Here is a 19,237-nt window from a genome sequence, read left to right as displayed (position 1 = left end):
TTCTCCTCAATATTCTGAGTTCTAACTTAGATCCTCTTCCTCAGTAAATTATGTCAATCCCTTGCCTCTCTTCTATAATACCAGGAATTTCTTTTACAGCAAATAAGATTAGAAGCTGAAAATGAAGGATAATTAATTATCCTTAGTTAGTAAACACTACAAGCCTCTTTATTTAATGCAAAACTAATTAAAGTATTGTAATGACTCATCTCTAATAAAATCATATTGCTGAGTTTGCTAATAGCTTCAAATATTGACAAAGCATGCCAAACTCATATGAAATGGACCATTGGCCATTTGTAGAAGTATGTCTTTTACTTTTTTAAATTTATGTTTGCATGCACTCAAAAGATAAACTAGATAAATATGAAATTTCTCTTAAGAATTCCCCAAAGGAGTTTGAAAAATGACATTACAGAAAACTTAAGCTTAATTCTCCACAAAACTAGTCACCCTAAAGTTCCCTAAGGTGTTTAAATTCATATGAAAACAGATTTTTTAATAATAGTAAAAGTGAATACCTACAAAATACTTATTATAGGCCAGATACTATTCAAAGTGCTTTAGAACTGTATTTCATACATTAAACACCAGAATAGCACTATTGATAAAGCACTACCATTTTAAAGATGGAAACAGTAAGCCATATCAAGATTAAATAATGTTCTCAAGATCAACAGCTAGTAAGCAGTAGAACCAGAATGTAATCACCTGCAATATGGCTTCAAACAGGGAACCTATAATTTTTATACATTTTTAGTATTTTCATAATTTTCTTAAATATATTAAAAAATAAGGAATCAATAACAAATAAAGAAAATGCATACATTAATACTATTTCCCTGAGTGTATCAAAGTGCTATTATTTTGTCATAGGTGTTGGTTTCCCTCAAGTATGAAGAATAAGAGGGTCATTTAAAACCAACCAAAGTGTAAAAGATTTTCCAAAATACTGTCCATTTTTTTCTAAAATACTGGGCAGTATTTTGTACAAAAGGTGGAGTTGTCTTGGGTTTCTGTGTTCTGGAATTTGGTTTGTTCCAAAGTTGCTTCTGGCCCAATGGACCAGCTCTATTGTTCACAACATCAGAGTGAAACAGGAAGGATGAGAGCACCTGCCACTTCTTGGTGTCCACTCACCATTGTCCATGAATGTTTCATTGATTACATGCCTTATCTAGACCAAACCCTGCACATTCATATTTACCATATTCTATGCAAATTTTGCTGCCACTTTTCAGAAATATCATAGTGGGATAGATTACAGAGAGTTCTGTGATGGTAGATTAAATGCATTGTTTGTTAATTTATCTAAATATCTACAAGATAAAAGCAAATATAATGTCTATAATCTGTGGTATCTGGACAATTGCAGACATTTTTCATTTTAAATCACTAACCTTTTTTCATCATAATGATTTACTCAATTATTCAACCATTTAGTGTGGAAAGGACAGTGAATGCAGGGTTGTTTGTAGGATTTCTTTGAATATTTGAGGGTCCAGATTATTTTCCAATGAAAGGAAACCTTATTTAGCCACAGTGTATTATTCTGTAGGCTTCTCATGATATGAAATATCTATTATAATTACCCTATTTCACTAATAAGCTTAAGAAATATACAGATTTATAAAATAGGATATAAATCATAGTAATGTGCATCTTATTATGAAAAATAGTCATTTTCCAAAATAATTATCACAATGATATGATGGTGTACATATTTCTATTTATAGATGAGAAAATTGAGGCTTGCAGGAAATTAAAAACTTAACTCAGCCCAACCAGCTGTTGTTAAAACAGCAATTCAAATTTTAAAAAAGCCTAGAGGATTCTAAACTACGTTAAAAGAACTAGTTAAAGGATAGGATGAGGGTTGGCCAATCAGAGTTATTAAAGGTAAATAAGGTAAATATATTTATTAAGGTATAAAACATTTGAATTCAATAGAAAGATGTATTTATCATTTTATAACTTCCTCATTCTTTACAACATAGTTCAAATTATATAATGCAAAACTGACAACTAAAGAAAAAAATCACATATCCACTGTCATTAGTAAGAAAATATAACTCTTAGAAACATAATTATTAAGATTGATCCTGTAGGCACATATAGAACATTGTTCCTGTCATATAGAACATATATAAAATTATCCATCACATAAAAAGCATTTTGAAAAAATCCCAAGCCATAAAGCATGTCTCATCAATTGCAGTCACTAACTAAAACTAACTAAAAAAAAAATTGTAAAACTTAACCCAGTAACCATAATAGAATCAATTTTTTAGTATTCCAGCAAAAACAAAAAACAAAAAACCCCACCATACCTAGTTACATTCATAGGTTAACTAGTGCAGAAGGATTTTAACGACATAGAAATTATAAAAATTGAAATGGAAAAGAAAAATGTCATTATTAACAAAAAGCATAATAGTCTACACAGAATTATTTGGAATATATAATTGTGCGTAGCAAGGTTGATATATATTAAATAAATAATTTGAGTACCTTTCTATTTACCAGTAGCAAACATTTTTAAAATAAGAAATGCAAGCACTTAAAAGAGTCACCAAAATGATAAAGTGTAAATTTTTAGATATAAAATTGTAAAATTTGAGATATTAAGAGTCTTAAATAACTAAATACATACATTAAATGTTTGTAGATATGAAGATTCAGTATCACTAAGATGTTAATTTCCCAAAATAGACATATAGATTCAAATAATAAATTCAAAATTCTGAAAATGGGCATGTAACATGAAAGACAATTGTGACATTCATATGAAAGGCTAAAAAGTCAAGAAGAGTCAAAGTCAGCATATGAAACTGCCTTGTCAGCTAGTAAAGCTTATTTTAATTAAGATACTGTTGTCTTAGCACACTAATAGACAAACCACCTGGAAGAAAAAAAGAGCCGGAAGAAGACTCATGGATATGTACAGCATAACACTGTAACACTGCAGATGAATAGTTAAAGAATGAAGTGGTCAACAAAAGGTTTCAGGACAATTGTTGGCCATATAAAACATATATAAAAATGGATAGGGACTTAATACCATACCAAAAAAAGCAATTTCAGATGGATGGATCAAGAACCTATACATGGAAGGCCCACTTGAAAAATTCTAGAGAAGTATGATTTCATTGTAAAGATTTCATCAATAACAAAAAGTACAAATCATGTATTTGATAAATCAGACTACATTTATAAAAAAATATGTTTGTAGAAATGGATCCATTAAGAGAGTGAGAAGTAAATCCGAAAACTGGATGAAGATAGACCAAACAATGTATTAATATCCAGAACATATAAGGGGTTCCTTTTAACTAAAAAAAAAAGAATAAAAAATGTGAATGGACAAATATATGAATAGATATTTCACATATGAAAAAATACAAATTGCCAGTAACCATATGAAAAGTTGCTCTAGCTTATTAGAATTCAAGGAAATACTAAATGTTAATAAAACTATAACGAAATACTATTTTGTATCATCATTTGAGTAATTATTTAAAAGTCTGGAAAAACAGGTGTTGGCAAGGATATGGAACCAAGGGAACGCTCTCATTATTGCTGGTAGGTGTAAACACGCTTAACAAATAACCTAGAAATCAGTTTGGTGATGCTCAGTACATCTGAGCATGCACAGGATAGTAAGCAATACTACTCCCTGAGCAATATTCCCTTGAGAAAGGCTTTACATTGTCACCATGAGATATGTACAAGAATATAATATTGCAGGCGGGGCTCACTGGCTCATGTCTGTAATCCCATCACTTTGGGTAGGCCTAGGTGGGTGGATCGCTTGAGGTCAGGAGTTTGAGATCAGCCTGGCCAACATGGTAAAACCCCGTCTCTACTAAAAATATAAAAGCTAGCCAGACCTGGTAGCATGTGCCTGTAATCCCAAGTACTCAGGAGGCTGAAGCACAAGAATTGCTTAAACCTGGGAGGCAGAGGTTGCAGCGAGCTGAGATCTCACTCCAGCCTGGATGACAGAGCAAGACTTTGCCTAAAATAAACATGCACATACATATATATATAATTGCTCAAACTGCTTTATATATCAATAATTATCTTTTTGAGTTTGTAATAATTTCAAAATAAAAATAAAAGTAAAAATCCTCTCTTAAGAGAATATTAAATAATTCTGTCTAAATTTTTACCCTGAACAATGCTTTAAGAAAAAATAATCTTTATTTTGAATTTTTCATGAAAACTGACAATATTATGTAATGGAAAGTATGCAGTACAAGGTCCTAGTAACCTTGAATCTCTTCTAGGTTTCATTATAAACCAGCAGTTTAATCATATATTACTTAATAAACTTTTGTCTTTATTAACTGATAAAATAATACTAGTATCATTTAATGTATTCTTAAGTTGGACTATTAGATAAAAGATATAAAGGACTTAGGGAAACATAAAGTTTTGTAGGACAAGTTTTCCTATGGTTTTTCCAAAGTTTCAGTTAACATCTTCCATAAAACCATGATTGGCAGTGTTCAGTGCATACCAATGCCTGCGCTTACCAGCTGCTGCCCTTGGACACCCCAGGCCGCGTACTGCAAGACGGAGTCCTCTACTTCTGGAGGATTTAACTCCCAAACTTCCCTTGAAAAAATGTGAATATTTTTACATGAACAAACTGATATCTACACCAACAATTTAGTAACACAATTGCTCATGAAAACTAGAAAATCAAAGAACTTACCTAGTGTGTATGTTGTAAATCACATATGAAGCAGTATACGAATAATGAAAAATCTGAAATTAAAAAAGAAACATTATTGATCATAGCTTTATCTTAATGTGAATATATGTATATATATTCTTAGTAACATCCAGGTAATCCAAGAATTGGTGTTAGGCAGAAATGAAAATATAAAACATTCTAGCTCAGAAGTTTATCACCCTCTCTGTGCCTTATGCCTAATTTTTCTTTCTAATATCAATTCCATTGCTTATTTAATCCACTCTATCCTGAGTATAATTGTGATTATGTTACTTTCTTGTTCAAAATTTTCACTAATGCCCTATTGCCTGTAAAATAAAGTTCAAACTGCCTCATCTGATGTTAAATAATTTTGTTATTTTGGCTTTTACATGTTTTTCTAAACTTATCACCCACTCCCTCTCTTTACATCGTCTATACTTCAAATTAGATGGATTCTCCCTGTGTGTCCTGAACTTTTTTTGCTTTTCCCCCAAGGACATTCTACCTTAACTGAGGTGAGAATTCTACCCCTTATAATAAAGCCCCCGTATGGAGCTCATATTGATTTCTTCTACTGAAATCCATCTCGCACAGTTTCCTGCATGACTCTTAGGACACATCTCACTCTGTAGTGAAACTATATAAACATTTTGTGTAAGTCTCCTTTTCCTACTAGAATGTTGTCAGATACAGGTGTCTATTACCTTTGCATCCTCCACATTACCTAGCACAGTGCCATGTTTATATGCATTCAACTGGTATTTCTTGAGTGATGGTTCTGATAGGAAAAAAACTAATGCATGTTGAAGTGTTTGTTGGTGAAGTTGAAGTGAGATAACACTCTCCACACCTTCATAGTAATGGTTGAAAATGACATATTAAGCAGATGGCTACAAGTATGTAATATCTAAAAATCCCCATTTTTTTAAAGACTATCTTCCCAAGGACTGCAGAACTCATGACCCATTAAATTTCAAACAAAAGACTGTAGTGCATAATGCAAAAATGCCTCTATGTTTTGCTTCTTAATAATGAGATGATGAAATAGTGGAATACAGAGGAAATTAGGAAAATTACAAAAGATGGGTTAGGGAAAGAGATGATGAGTATATTTCTGTGAAAATTATTTTTCTCTAAGCTATGTGAATCTAGTGAAGAAAATTGTTCTTTAGCTAGCTATATTGTGATATTATTATTTCCAGGATTTACAGAAATTTTATTGATACTTTCATTTTTCAGTATGCAATTGTAAAAGCTTCTTTTATTCTTGTAGTGGATGTACATTGCACAAATATTATAATACTGTCAATTAAAACTCCCTAGAAGTCAAATTGTTATTTCTTCTCACTGGAATAATAGCTTCAATTAAATATGATTTGCCACATATTTGGCAAAGAAGTGCTATGTTCTCTCTTTGCAATGAAATTGCAAGCCTTCCACCATTTGTTAGAGTATTGTGTTTTACAATGAAGCTTTATGCTCCCGCTCCTTTTGGAATAACTATTAAATCTGAGATTGCCTTTGTGATAGGGCTGTAGAAGCAAAAATAATTTTTCCTGGTGTCTACTTTGACATTTACTTTGTGTTCTATAAAGTTCCATACTTACTACAAATTTAAATCTTGAATTTACTACCAGAGCTGACAAAAAGATGAGAAATGTGACCACTTCTGTCAATATTTTCTCTCTCTCTCTCTCTCTCTTTTTCTCTCTCTCTCAGAAAGCTCTGCTGCCAAAGCAAACTGCCAAGTGAGTTCTTGGTCTTCAAAGAAGACAAATATGTCATGATATCGTGGGGGGAAAGAGGGTATTCATCCTATCTTTGAGTCACCTACCACACTGTACCTGGCTTTTAGGCACACATCTAAAGAGAAAAAGTTGCTGGGCATTATCATTTTAGGCAAAGCAGACACTGAGACCTAACAACTGTGTATAATTATTGAATCTTGGTCTCTTTCTGCACTATTTTTTATAGAGGTTGCTGGTCGTTCTCTAATTGTAAATCCAGAGGACTTATATGTCTTCAAATGGTGTGATTGGAGAAGGGAATATATAAATCCACCTTCTGTTCTGTAGTTCTTAGCCTGATAACAATATTGTCTCTTGCAGTAAGTGTGTTGAGGTGAAGACTGCAATAAAGAAGTTAAACTAGACTTGTCTGCAAACCCACAGCAGAATGCAGTAACATATAGGCTTGGGCCTCATCCATATCTATCTATCTATCTATCTATCTATCTATCTATCTATCTATCCATCCATCCATCCTACAAAGCCAGCAATTTGCCATCTGCAGATAATTAGAACCTAGCCCTTTACTCTGAGTTTAGAACACTTTCCTCCAAATTCACTATCTTTTTATGCATGTGTGTGTGTTCCCAGCAGATCTCAAATACTTCCTGTTTTTTAACTTTCAATAAGAAAAATCACATTCCTTGCCCACAACAGAATAAAGAATATGGGGGAGGGCAAAATCTTGAACAAGGTTGGAAGAAGAAATTTCTATCTCTCTTTCTCTCTTTCTTGACATAGTGTTGGAGATATTTTAAAGGGAGGGGGGATTTTCAATGAGAATTAGATTTAGCTTTACTGAACATCTGTATTAAGGCATTCTGGTCTAAATTCACCCTGTGCTAATCTGCATCTCTTTCTCTCTCCTTCCTTGGATAACATTTCTACTCTTTTTTAACATTCCTCAATTTCCTTTATCTTAAACTCCCCTTCCATACGGCTAAGTAGGTCTTATTTCATGACGAGAGGGTAAAATCAAAGTTACTTAAGATTAGGAAGAGTAACAGTTTTTCCTGTAATGATTGGCTGCTGCACAGTGAAAGCCAAACTGAGCATCTGAGAGACCTATGGGGACAAGCAAATTTCATAGCCAAAAATTACCTATTCATCCCATCTCTGCAAATGATGTTCCACTACTTATTAGAGTGTGAATAGTTATGGAAAAGGCAGTGGGAGTGGACAGAATTCCAATATACCATATCAAAACTTGATCAGCTTATTTCTGGAAGCTGGCCTTAAGATATCCAATCATTCAATCCCATCAAGAAAAGTATTAGGAGACTCAGAAAACATCAAAAGATCATGTAATCCAATCTGGTACCCATCATCTCTATATTATACTGTGAACCCTAAGAAGAGTTTGATTACTAAGAGTTGACTACTACAAGTGGTATAGACAATTTTCATTGTTTGCAGTTGTTTTTACCTGTATTCTCAGCATAAACACTGAATTAGCAACTACTGAATCATTGCTCCTAGGAGAAATACAGGATCAGGTTCCTGTGAGCCTCTGGTCACAACATTTTCATGAACCCTTTAACCTATAACCTACTTCATATTTGTTTCTGTTTAAAGACACCTTATTTTAAATGATTCATTAACATTGAACTCATAGCCAACAACACTATAACTCACGCTTGAATGAGGCTTATCTAACACATGTGTTTGCTCCATAAGGCACATCACAGCATTCTTGCACTAAGGAAGACAGGACAACTCTTCATCACTATGCTTGGGGGCAGAAGTGACTGGTGGGAAGTGATTTTAAACAGGAACATGACCAACAGAAAGCACAAAAATGTGAAAAACATGTCACTAAGTAGACCCTCAAAACGATAATTGTTTACAGTAAAAGAGCTGAAACAGGAAGGCACAGTGTCACCTCGTTCAACCTTAGCTGGGAAAGTAGACAACAAGCAACTCAATTGTTCTGTTATTCTGCATATGTCTATGAATGACTGTGAAAGACCCAGGAGTAGATTTGTGGGGCACAAGTTAACTTTAGCATGTAGTTGAATTTGCATATATGTAATTTATGGATAATAATCTACTGTATTAATTATATAAACATGGCATGAGATATTATTGGAAGAAAGGAAAAACAGACATATTTTAGTCCTGCCAGAATTTGAACACAAGGAAAGTACAGAAGTTATCCAAATTCTGGCATTCATGCTCTGTAAATGAAAATTAACTACATTCATTTATTTAACAAATTTCTGTTAATATCTTTGATACAGGCACCACAATAACTATTTTTAAAAAGATTATCATAATAAAGTTTTTTAAAATAAGATAAATAAGAGTGTCAGTTGATAACCTGTATTTACTTTTATATGTTGTCAGTTTATAAATGACTATTGAATACTAATTATGTAACTATTGAATACTAATTATGTGCAAGTTCATAAATGAGGTAACTTGCAAAATACAAAGACCAAAATAAATGTAATCTCTGTCCCCACGGAGCTTATGTTCCATTCGGTGCAACAAGGCCAAGAAACATTACATTGGTATGGAAAACTCTGTTGTAGGTCATGGTTCAATTAGGACTGCATATTATAAGTTCATAAGCTTTCCAAGAAATGATTAATCTTTTTGGTTTTATGAGTACGTCATAGAAATATACTAGTTGACTTAGTCGAAGTGATTTATACAGTTTAGAAAAATACAGCTAGTGTGTCAAACTTAAGATAGTCCTGCATATAATAATAACTCAAATTTAGCTTTCACTACATACCAGATTCTGCATAGTGCTTTACATATATTATATTACTTAACATTTAAATCAACCTCAAGATTTATTTACTCAAGAAGTAAATATTATTCATACTTCATAAAATAAGCTCTGCCAAGTTCAATTTTAAAACTGAAAGTTTAAGTAGGAAACAGTCACAATCTGAACCAAGATCTGCCTGATTACAATCCACTTTGCGATTTAATCTTTCTGCACACTACCTTTCAGGGAGCTAGTACATGAAGCACGACTCTACCTTTGCAAATGATTCATTTCCAAAAGACCAATTAAGCCACTATTCAAAGATCTATTGATGGAAATATGTATGAATTAATTGATTACCAGAGTTAAGAGAGATTTCATTTTGGAAACATGATCTATCAGATTAAAAATGTAAATTGTCTTTTCCTTTAACTGTTTTTCACAATTTTTTTTCTTGGAATATCAGTTATTACCTAAGACACCTATGGGGATTCGTGTCAAGGAGAGTTCAGCTTAAAAGAAAAAAGAGCAGTGTATCCCAGTAATTTATGCTTGAACCAGAGGCTTGTATCTCTGGATACAAAAGCTTTTTCTGCACTGCAGTTGAACAGCCGAATTGATATAAATAGCATTCATTTTCATGGCCTGGAGAATATTTAAAATAGGATTATGGATTTGCCATGGAATCAAACAGTTAGGAAAACTGAACTGTGAGAAAGCAAGCTACTGTGTCAACAGCATTTATTAAAAAATGCCGGTAAGAGGAAAGACAATACAGGCAAAATGGGATTGGTTTCTCTTGGAAGTCAGTAATACAATGATGCCAAGTTTGTTCTAGGATAATGAGATACCTTTTAAGATGAGTGAGTCGTGACTTTGTCGTTTCAAAAGATTTATCTTCTTCACACAGTTACGAACTAACTAGCTCCTAGCTATGAGCTAGGAGACTCTAGTGTTGTAATATGATTCACACAATGATAAACTACAGCTCTACAGAAATATTTTTAAAACATTGCCCTTTTAACAAAAGCTTTGTGAACATCGAAAAACAAGTATTGATTGAAAAGGAAAATATATATGAGTATTAAAAGTATACTTAATATTTATTAGTATTTTAAACTACTTCAAAATATTTCTTACTTAATGTTCACTATAACCTTAAAAGGATATTATCTATCCTTCAGGTTTGGATAGATTTATAACCTTAAAAGGATATTTTCTATCCTTCAGGTTTGGATGGCATTTAAAATCAATTACTGACAGTAGTACAAGCGATTTTTTATTTATACCGAAATAAGTTTATACACAGCTAGTATAACTAGAATTGGAACTAAGATCTTACAGATTCTGAAATCCATGGCTTTTCTACTACAATAAGAAAGAAAAAAATGCAAGCATGACTTTACTATGATACAACATAGAGGAATCACGTACCATTCTTCAATTGCACCACCATTTTGGTAAGTGGCAAACAGTAAAATACTTAAGGTGGTGAGACTAAAAGTATGAAGATTACGAATATAAAATTCAGGTTTTTTATTTTTATTTTATGTTTTAAAAATAGACACATTTAGAGCACTTTTAGGTTCACAGCAAAATAGAGTGGAAGTTACAGAGAGTACTCACATACCTCTGCCTCCACACACACACAGCCTCTCCACTATCAATATCCCCTACCAGAGTGGTACTCATGTTACAATCAATAAACGTATATCAACACGCCATTGTCACCCAGAGTCCATAATTTACACTAGGGTTTACTCTTGATGTTGTATATTCCGTGAGTTATGATGAGTATATAATGATTCATCTTCATGATTACGGTATCACACAGCATAGTTTCATTGCCCCCCAAAATTCTGTGTGTTCCACGAGTTCATCCCTTCTTCCATCCTAATCCCGAGCAAATGCTAAATTTTTTTACTGTCTCCACAATTTTGCATTTCCCAGAATGCCATATAGTTGGAATCATCCAGTATGCAGACTTTTCAAATTGGCTTTTTTCACTTACTAATATGCACATACATTTCATCCATGTGTTTTCATGCCTTGATAGTTCATCTCTTTTTCAGTAAACAATATTGCATAGTCTAGATATGTCACAGTTTATAGGTGTTAATTAGGCTGTATTTACGACAAAATCTATAAAACATAAAAATAAACTTGCTAATTAAAAAGCAAAACAAAACTGACCGTCACAAAACCAATTTGGTCATTCTGTTATAGGCAGCATGATGCGGTCCCCACACAAGATGTATAATAAAGTACTATTTATACTTTTCTTTGGTTTATTTGGGTCTAGTAGGCATCACAGTGGAAAAGAATTAGATACTGTGTCAGCAATTTTATAATTTATAGTGTATTTCCTCTGAACTGAAATACAATACTTTCAGAAATACTCTCTAACTGTAAATGCTGACAACCTAATGAGATGAATGAAGTACACGTTTTTATTTGATATATTTATTTTACTTTAGACAATGGATGGCTGATGACTCAAATATTAAAAGCATACCAAAAATCACCTGGACAACATTTTTCAATTGCATGTAGGGCTATTCTGCCTAGGATATAATTCAACTGGCCTATGTATTAATAGCAGCTAATACCAGAAGATTATACTTTATTACCCCAAAGGAGATCTTTGAGCAGGCAGAATAAATCATTTTCTGATATATTCCCTGTTATATAAATAAGCTTATTATATTATAGAAAAACCTTCTTTAAATTGCTCTTAGAATTGCTCTTAGAGTTCCTGCGACGTTTTCTATAGTGCAAAATTCCTTTTCAAAGATGTTCCATTTTTCAGTAATTGATATTTAACATGTAACTTTCACCATACTACACTCTTGAGTAAACTAACAGCCTCATTGACAATGCCACTGTTTGTAATACAATATTTTCATGGACCAGACCTCTCCTCATTAATTAACACAAATAAGCAACTTCCACATCAGTTGGCATTAAACTATTTTCTACTTATCATCATTTGAAAATATCTGGTTTGATAACCTGAATGGCATTTAAAATCAATTACTGAAAGTAGTACAAGCGATTTTTCATTTATAGCGAAATAAGTTTAAACATTGTCTCACTAGCTATAAACTAGTTTTCTCTCTAGCATATCCATGCAGAAATAAATATATTGCAATAGGACAGAGAGCCAAACTCCCAACCTAGCTTCCATTTAGTGCTGGAACTAGAATTGTAAGGATGAAAATTATTGTTTCAACACATAGGAAATTACAAGCCCTTGTTAACTGAATAAACCATGACTTCGAAAAGTGGTCATTTCATTTCCAAGCAGCTTTGGAGAAAAGGTTGTCTTCATTTCAATAGGATCAAATCTTAGCTTGTGTTTTCCTTAGCAGTTTACAAGAAAAAAGAAAAAGAAAGAAAGAGGAAGAAAGAAGGAAGGAAGGAAGGAAGGAAGGAAGAGAAAGAAAGAAAGAAAGAGAGAGAAGGAGAAAGAGAAAGAGAGAGAGAGAGAAAGGAAGAAAGGAAGGAAGGAAAGGAAGGAAGGTAGGAAGGCAGGAAGGAAGGAAAAGAAAGAAAGGGGAAAAAAACCACAATTCACTCATCAAGGGAATAGAGAAAATAATATATATCCAAATGTTTTATTATGAGGATTAAAGGACAAAAATATATGGAAATTTTTTGGTTATTACCTGAGGCTAAGCCCAAGAGATTACAACCAGAAAAGCTCAAATCTATTTCAATTGCAACTTGTTAACTTATTCCATAAAAGTTTTACTACCAAGCAGAGATAGAAAATCCTTAAAATGAGTTGTATTGATTTTGTATTTGTAACTTTGCATAACACTATACCCTCATACATAATTAACATACCTGTGTTAAATGATTTTTTAAATATTAGAAAAATGGTAATAAATATAAATTCCAAGTATTATAATATATGTATTTACCTATTAATAGCTATTTAGATTGTTCATATTTTCCATATACCATAAAAAACTCTAAAATTATTTTTATTACATATTTTGCATACGCTTAGGATATATTCTCAAAAGTAAAATGTGTAGATCAGAAGATATGCACATTTTACATTTTGATTCCTATTACCAGTCATTTTTTACTACGGCTAAAACAATTTATAGTCCTACATGCTACACAAGCATCTCTCTCTTTGTTCAAAGTCACAATAAAATCATGTTGCCATTGAGGTAATTTAAATTATTTCAAGGAAAAACAATGACAATGACAGCAGCAACAACAACAACAAATCATTTAGACCTGTAGTTTATGATTGAGCTTGAATATCCTGTCATAAGCTGTAATCACTTGTGTTTCTTCATTCATAACTTATATATCAGTGTCTTTTTCCTGTTTGTTCTTGGGAATTCATTCATCTTTTTCTTATTGATCTCTAAAAGCTCTTTTTATATGACAGATTATAACTTTGTTTTTATGTATGTAGTAAACATTTTACCCTATTTAGCATCTGTGTTTTCATTTTGTGTGTTTTCCACAGATAATTTTTAAAACTTTATATGTTTACTCTAAAAGTTAGTTCCTTTATGGTCTCATACTTAAGTAGCATGCCAAAAGTAGCTTAACTAGCTTAACATTGTAAGTTCTCACACACTTTTTTCTTCTAGTACTTTTAAAATTTATGATCTCTTCATTAAGCAATAATTATTTTTTATTTACGGTGTGAGGTATACATCCACTTTTGTTTTTTATTCCCCAAGTAACCAGAAAGTTGCTCAATGCAATTTGTTCTGTAATTTGTCATTTTTCTTTATTTGAATGTTATACTTACATTCTATACATAATTTGTCTTTTACTGGTCAATTGTGGACTTATTTATTTGTTTGCCTTTTCCTTACAAGGATTATATTGCACCTTTAAAACACATTTAATTGTAAAGAATACTAATACATTTTCATATTTTGGTTACATATACACACTCTAAATATTGACTACTTAAAACATCTTATTCTTATTAAATTCTAGTTAAACTGAGAAGCATATTAAATATTGTTGAATAAAAATTTTATTTAAAAATGTTTTAAAACTTTTTACTTAGAGATCTTTAAAATATTCTTGTCATTTAGAAAATTTTAAAATTTTTGAGTGACATAAAATTGTACATATTTTGGGGAATACAATGTGATATTTTTATACATGTATATAATATGTAATGATTAAATCTGTGTAATTAGCATACTCATCACCTAAAACATTTATTATTTCTTTGTGTTGTGACCATTCAAAATCCTCTCTTTAGGATTTTTGAAAATATATATTAAATTATTGTTAACTATAGTTGCCCGAGGTAGTATAGAATTCTAGGACTCCTTCTTTTTTCTAGCTATAATTTTATATCCTTTATGAAACCTCTTTCTATCTTCTCTTACTCCTACATTTTCAAGCCTCTAATAACCACAGTTCTTCTCTTTACTTCTGTGAGCTAAATGTTTTTGTTCCCACGTACAAGTGATACACATGGTATTTATCTTTTTGTGCCTAATTTATTTCACTTAATATAATGTCTTCCAGGTTTATCCATGTTGATGCAAATAACAGAATTTTATTATTTTGTAATAGCTGCATATTATTCCCTTGTATATTTATACCACAATTTTTTAATTCATTCAGCTGGTGATGGACACTTACAATGATTCCATACTATTCATTCTCACACTTCTATGAAGAAATATCTGAGACTTGGTAATTTACAAAGAAAAGAGGTTTAATTGACTCACAGTTCCAAATGGCTGGGAAGGCCTCAGGAAACTTACAAACATGGTGGAAAGGGAAGCAAACATGTCCTTCACAAGTCAGAAAGAGAGAAGAGTGCTGAGCAAAGGGGGTGAAACCATCTATAAAACCATCAGATCTCCTGAGAACTTACTATCATGAGAACAGCATGAAGGTAACTGCTCCCATGATTCAATTACCTCCCATCAGGTCCCTCCTATGACATGTAGGGATTATGGGAACTACAATTCAAGACAAGATTTGGGTGGGGGACACAGCCAAATCATATCATTCCACCCATGCACCCCCCCCACATCTCATGTCCTCACATTTTAAAACACAATCATGCCCTTCCAACAATCCTCCAAAGTCTTAACTCATTCCAGCATTAACTCAAAATTCCATAGTCCAAAGTCTCATCTGAGACAAGGCAAGTCCCTTTTGCCTATAAGCCTGTAAAATCAAAAGCAAATTAGTTACTTCCTAGATATAATGGGGGTATAGGCACTGGGTAAATACAACTATTTCAAATGGGAGAAACTGGCCAGAACAAAGGGGCTCCAGGCCCCATGCAAGTCCAAAATCCAAGAGGGCATTCATTAAACCTTAAAGTTCCAAAATGATCTGTTTTGACTCCATGGCCCACATTCAGGGCATGCTGATGCAAGAGGTGGGCTCCCACAACCTTGGGCATCTCCACCCACTGTGGCTTTAGAGTAGAGCCCCCAGTCAGATGCTTTCATGGGCTGGTGTTGAGTGCCTGCAGCTTTTCCAGGTGCACGGTGCAAGCTGTCAGTGGATGTAACATTCTGGGGTCTGGAGGACAGTGGCCCTCTTCTCACAGCTCCACTGGGCAATGCCCTAGTGGGGACTCTGTGTAGGGCTCCAACCCTACATTTTCCTTCTGCATTGCCCTAGTAGAGGTTCTCCATGAGGACTGCACCCCTGCAGTAGACTTCTGCTGGACATCCAGGTGTTCCCATACATCCTCTGAAATCTAGGCAGAGGTTCCCAAACCTCAATTCTTATCTTATGAACACCTGCAGGACTAACATCATGTGCAAGGCAAGCTGCCAAGACTGGGTGCTTGCACCTGAAGCAATGGCCAGAGCTGTGCCGCGGCCCCTTTTAGCATGGCAGGAGCAGCTGGAAAGTAGGGCACCAAGTCCCAAGGCTGCACACAGCAGGGGGGCCCCGGGCCTGGCCCATGAAACCATTTTTTCCTCCTAAGCCTCCAGGCCTGTGACAGGCGGGGATGCCGTGAAGGGCTCTGACATGCCTAAAGACATTTTCCCCATTGCCTTGGTGATTAACATTTGGCTCCCCATTACTTATGCAAATTTCTGCAGCTGGCTTGAATTTCTCTTCAGAAAATGGGTTTTTCTTTTCTATTGCATCATCAGACTGAAAATTTTCTAAAGTTTTATGCTCTGCTTCCTCTTACTTGATATAATTTTGAGTTTTCAAAAATATATTGAGACTTGTTTTTGGCTCTAAGTATAATTAATGCTAAATAATATTTTATGTGCTAATGAGAAGAATGTGTCTTCTGCAGCTAAAGGATAAAATGACTTATAAATGCCTTTTAGGTCTATTTGGTGTTAAGTGCAGTTTAAGACCTATGTTTCTTGACTCTCTGTCTAGATGATATGTTTCATGCTTAGAGTCAGGCGTTAAAGTCCCCAGCTTTTACTGTAGTGGAGACTCTCTCTCCCCTTAGTTCTAACAATATTTGCTTTGTAAATCTGGATGCTATGGTATTGGGTACATACATATTTAACATTGTTATATCCTCTTGCTTAATTGATCTTGTTATTATTACACAATAACCTTCTTTGTTTCTTTTTTTGTTACTTAAAGTCTATTTTATCTGATATAAATATAGCTTTCCTGCTCACTTTTTATTTCCATTTGTATGAAATATCTTTTTCCATCTCTTCACTTTCAGTCTACATGTATCCTTACAAATGAAGTGAGTCTCTTGTGGGCAGCATATAGTTGAGTCTTGTTTTTTAATCGATTCAGCCATTCTGTATCTTTTTATTGGGGAATTTAAATCATTTACATGCTAGTCAGTTATTGACTGGGAAAAACTTACTCCTATCATTTTTTACATTGTTTTCTAGTGTTTTACAAATTCTTTGTTTCTTTCTTCCTCTCTTATTGCTTATCTTTGCAGTTTGTTGATTTTCTATATTGATTTAACTTGATTCTGTTTTATTTCTCATTTATTTATCTGTTCTACCAGTGAGGTTCACATTTTTATATGTTTTTATAATGGTAGAGATTGCCCATGTGCTTTCAAATGTAAGACTTTCTTAAGCATTCTTGTAGGACCAGTCTAGTGGTGATGAATTCCCTCAATTTTTGCTTGCCTGGGAAACACTTTATTTCTCCTTAATTTCTAAAGGATAGTTTTGCCTGAGTGTTATATTTCTGGCTGGAAGGTAATTTGTCTGTTTTTCCCTGAATTTTGACTATATTATCATATTATTTCCTGATCTGTATAGTTTCCACTAACAAATTTACCGTTTCTCTGATTGACATTTCCTCATAGGTGTCTTGATGCTTTCCTCTTGCTGTTTTTAGAAGTCTCTCTTTATCTTGTGATAGTTATTTATTGTACTTCAGAGAGGACATTTTTGGGTTAAATCTACATGGAAATATTTGAGCTTGTTATCTGCATGCCACACATCTTCCAAGAATTGAGTTTTCAGCTATTACATCATTAAACAGGTTTTCTATGTTTTTCTTCTTCTCTGCTTAATGTGGAACTTCCATGATTCCAATATTTGTTTTCTTAATGTCCTCTTATACGTCCCGTAGTCCTGCTTCATTCATTTTTATTCTTTTTCCTCTTTTGGCTAATGCATTTATCTCAAAAGGCCTGTCTGTAAGTTCAGAAATTCTTTCTTCTACTTAATTTAGTCTATTGATGAAGCACTTATTTTTATTGTATTTATTTAATTTTTCAATTTTAATATGTCTGTTTGGTTCTTTTTTAATACAGCTATCTTTTTATTGAATTTCTAAATCATATTTTTTTTGGTATTCCTATGTTAATATCTGTGCATCTGGTGGAACAATCTCTTCTTCCAGTTTTATGAAGTAGCTTTTATAGGGAAAGATCTTTTTCTCTATGTGTGTCCTACAGTTTTACTTGGATAAAATACTTTGGCTTTGGTTCTGAGTGGGCACAGTAATATAGTCTCTATAAAAATTATTTGGTAATCAATGTCAGCAGTGTCTCTAAGTGCCTTTGTGGCCATTCTGTGATTATTTGCCATGGCACAAGTTTGCTCAGAGGTGGGGATACCAGGCAGACCAGCCTTCAGACCCTTCAAGTAAATGCACAAGTTCATGGCATCTCTGCTGCTGGAGTAAATGTAATTGCTGGTTGTGGTGTTATGCCTTGAACTGGTGGCTTGAAGGCTCTGGGGAATATGCATGTCAGCTTTCTCCGTCCGGGGGAAAGCTTCCTCACTGTGCTAGACTATTTATACTCTAGGATGGAGGGTCCTGCATGTGCTTCAGTACAACAGTCACAGCTGAACTATTGGGTCCAGCTGGTGGCGCAACACTGCAACCCTCTGAATGGATGTGGGATGGATGTCAGGCCCCAGGGATGTGGAAATGCAGGGGCTATTCGTCCTCAGGGAAGGATGTACTCTGATGGTGACCATGCTCTCAAAATGTCATTGTGCTGCAATAACCTGGGTCCCAACGAGTGAAGGTGATCTAGCATTAATTTTTTTTCTCTGGGATAATAAAATCCTATGAACTCCAGGCAACTCCCTCTGGTGAACTTAGGGCCTATGAGGCCTGAGGGGCTCTACTATAGCTAGAATTGCAGGTATCTGTTGTCAAAATGTGGGCTTTGGGGCATTCCCCACTCACCTATTCTCAGAAATGGGGAGTACCTCTTGGCTCTGAGCCAATCTTGGCCAGATTCTTTGCTTCCCTCTCTATGCTACCATCTCAAGCTTCCATGCCTCAGATGGTCTTCATCACTTCCTTGCTGAATTTCATTGTTCTCCCTTAAACATCCTATTCAATGTGTGTGGTTTGCTGTTATGGTTCTTCTTTGTGGAGGAGGTGAGTGCTAGAGGCTTCTAGTAAGCCATCTTGATGACATCTGTTTGAGTCATTTTTTTTTAAAGCATCCATTTATATTGGTCATGAACATTATTTACTTGTTCAGGTTTTTAATTAATATGTTGCTCGTCATATTCGTCAAAGTCTGCATTATAACTTTAATAGTGAGTTTGTGGATTAAAATATATG

General features: G+C 33.8%; 1 protein-coding gene across 24 annotated transcripts in view; it reads right to left on the bottom strand.

The window, feature by feature from the left end:
* Nucleotides 1–19,237, bottom strand: part of DPP10 (dipeptidyl peptidase like 10) — a 1,403,140-nt gene that overhangs the window by 151,321 nt on the left and 1,232,582 nt on the right. For 23 of the 24 annotated variants that reach the window (NM_001321910.3, NM_001399849.1, NM_020868.6 and 20 more), the window contains 2 exon segments: nt 4,721–4,773; nt 4,539–4,620 (listed from right to left, as the gene is read on the bottom strand). In NM_001321910.3, coding sequence (NP_001308839.2) covers nt 4,539–4,620; nt 4,721–4,773 — 135 coding nt within the window. 24 annotated transcript variants of the gene reach the window in all.

The sequence above is a fragment of the Homo sapiens genome, chromosome 2 (genome assembly GCF_000001405.40).
Source record: "Homo sapiens chromosome 2, GRCh38.p14 Primary Assembly".
Taxonomy (NCBI): Eukaryota; Metazoa; Chordata; class Mammalia; order Primates; family Hominidae; genus Homo; species Homo sapiens.
This window is presented reverse-complemented; position numbering and strand designations above follow the sequence as displayed.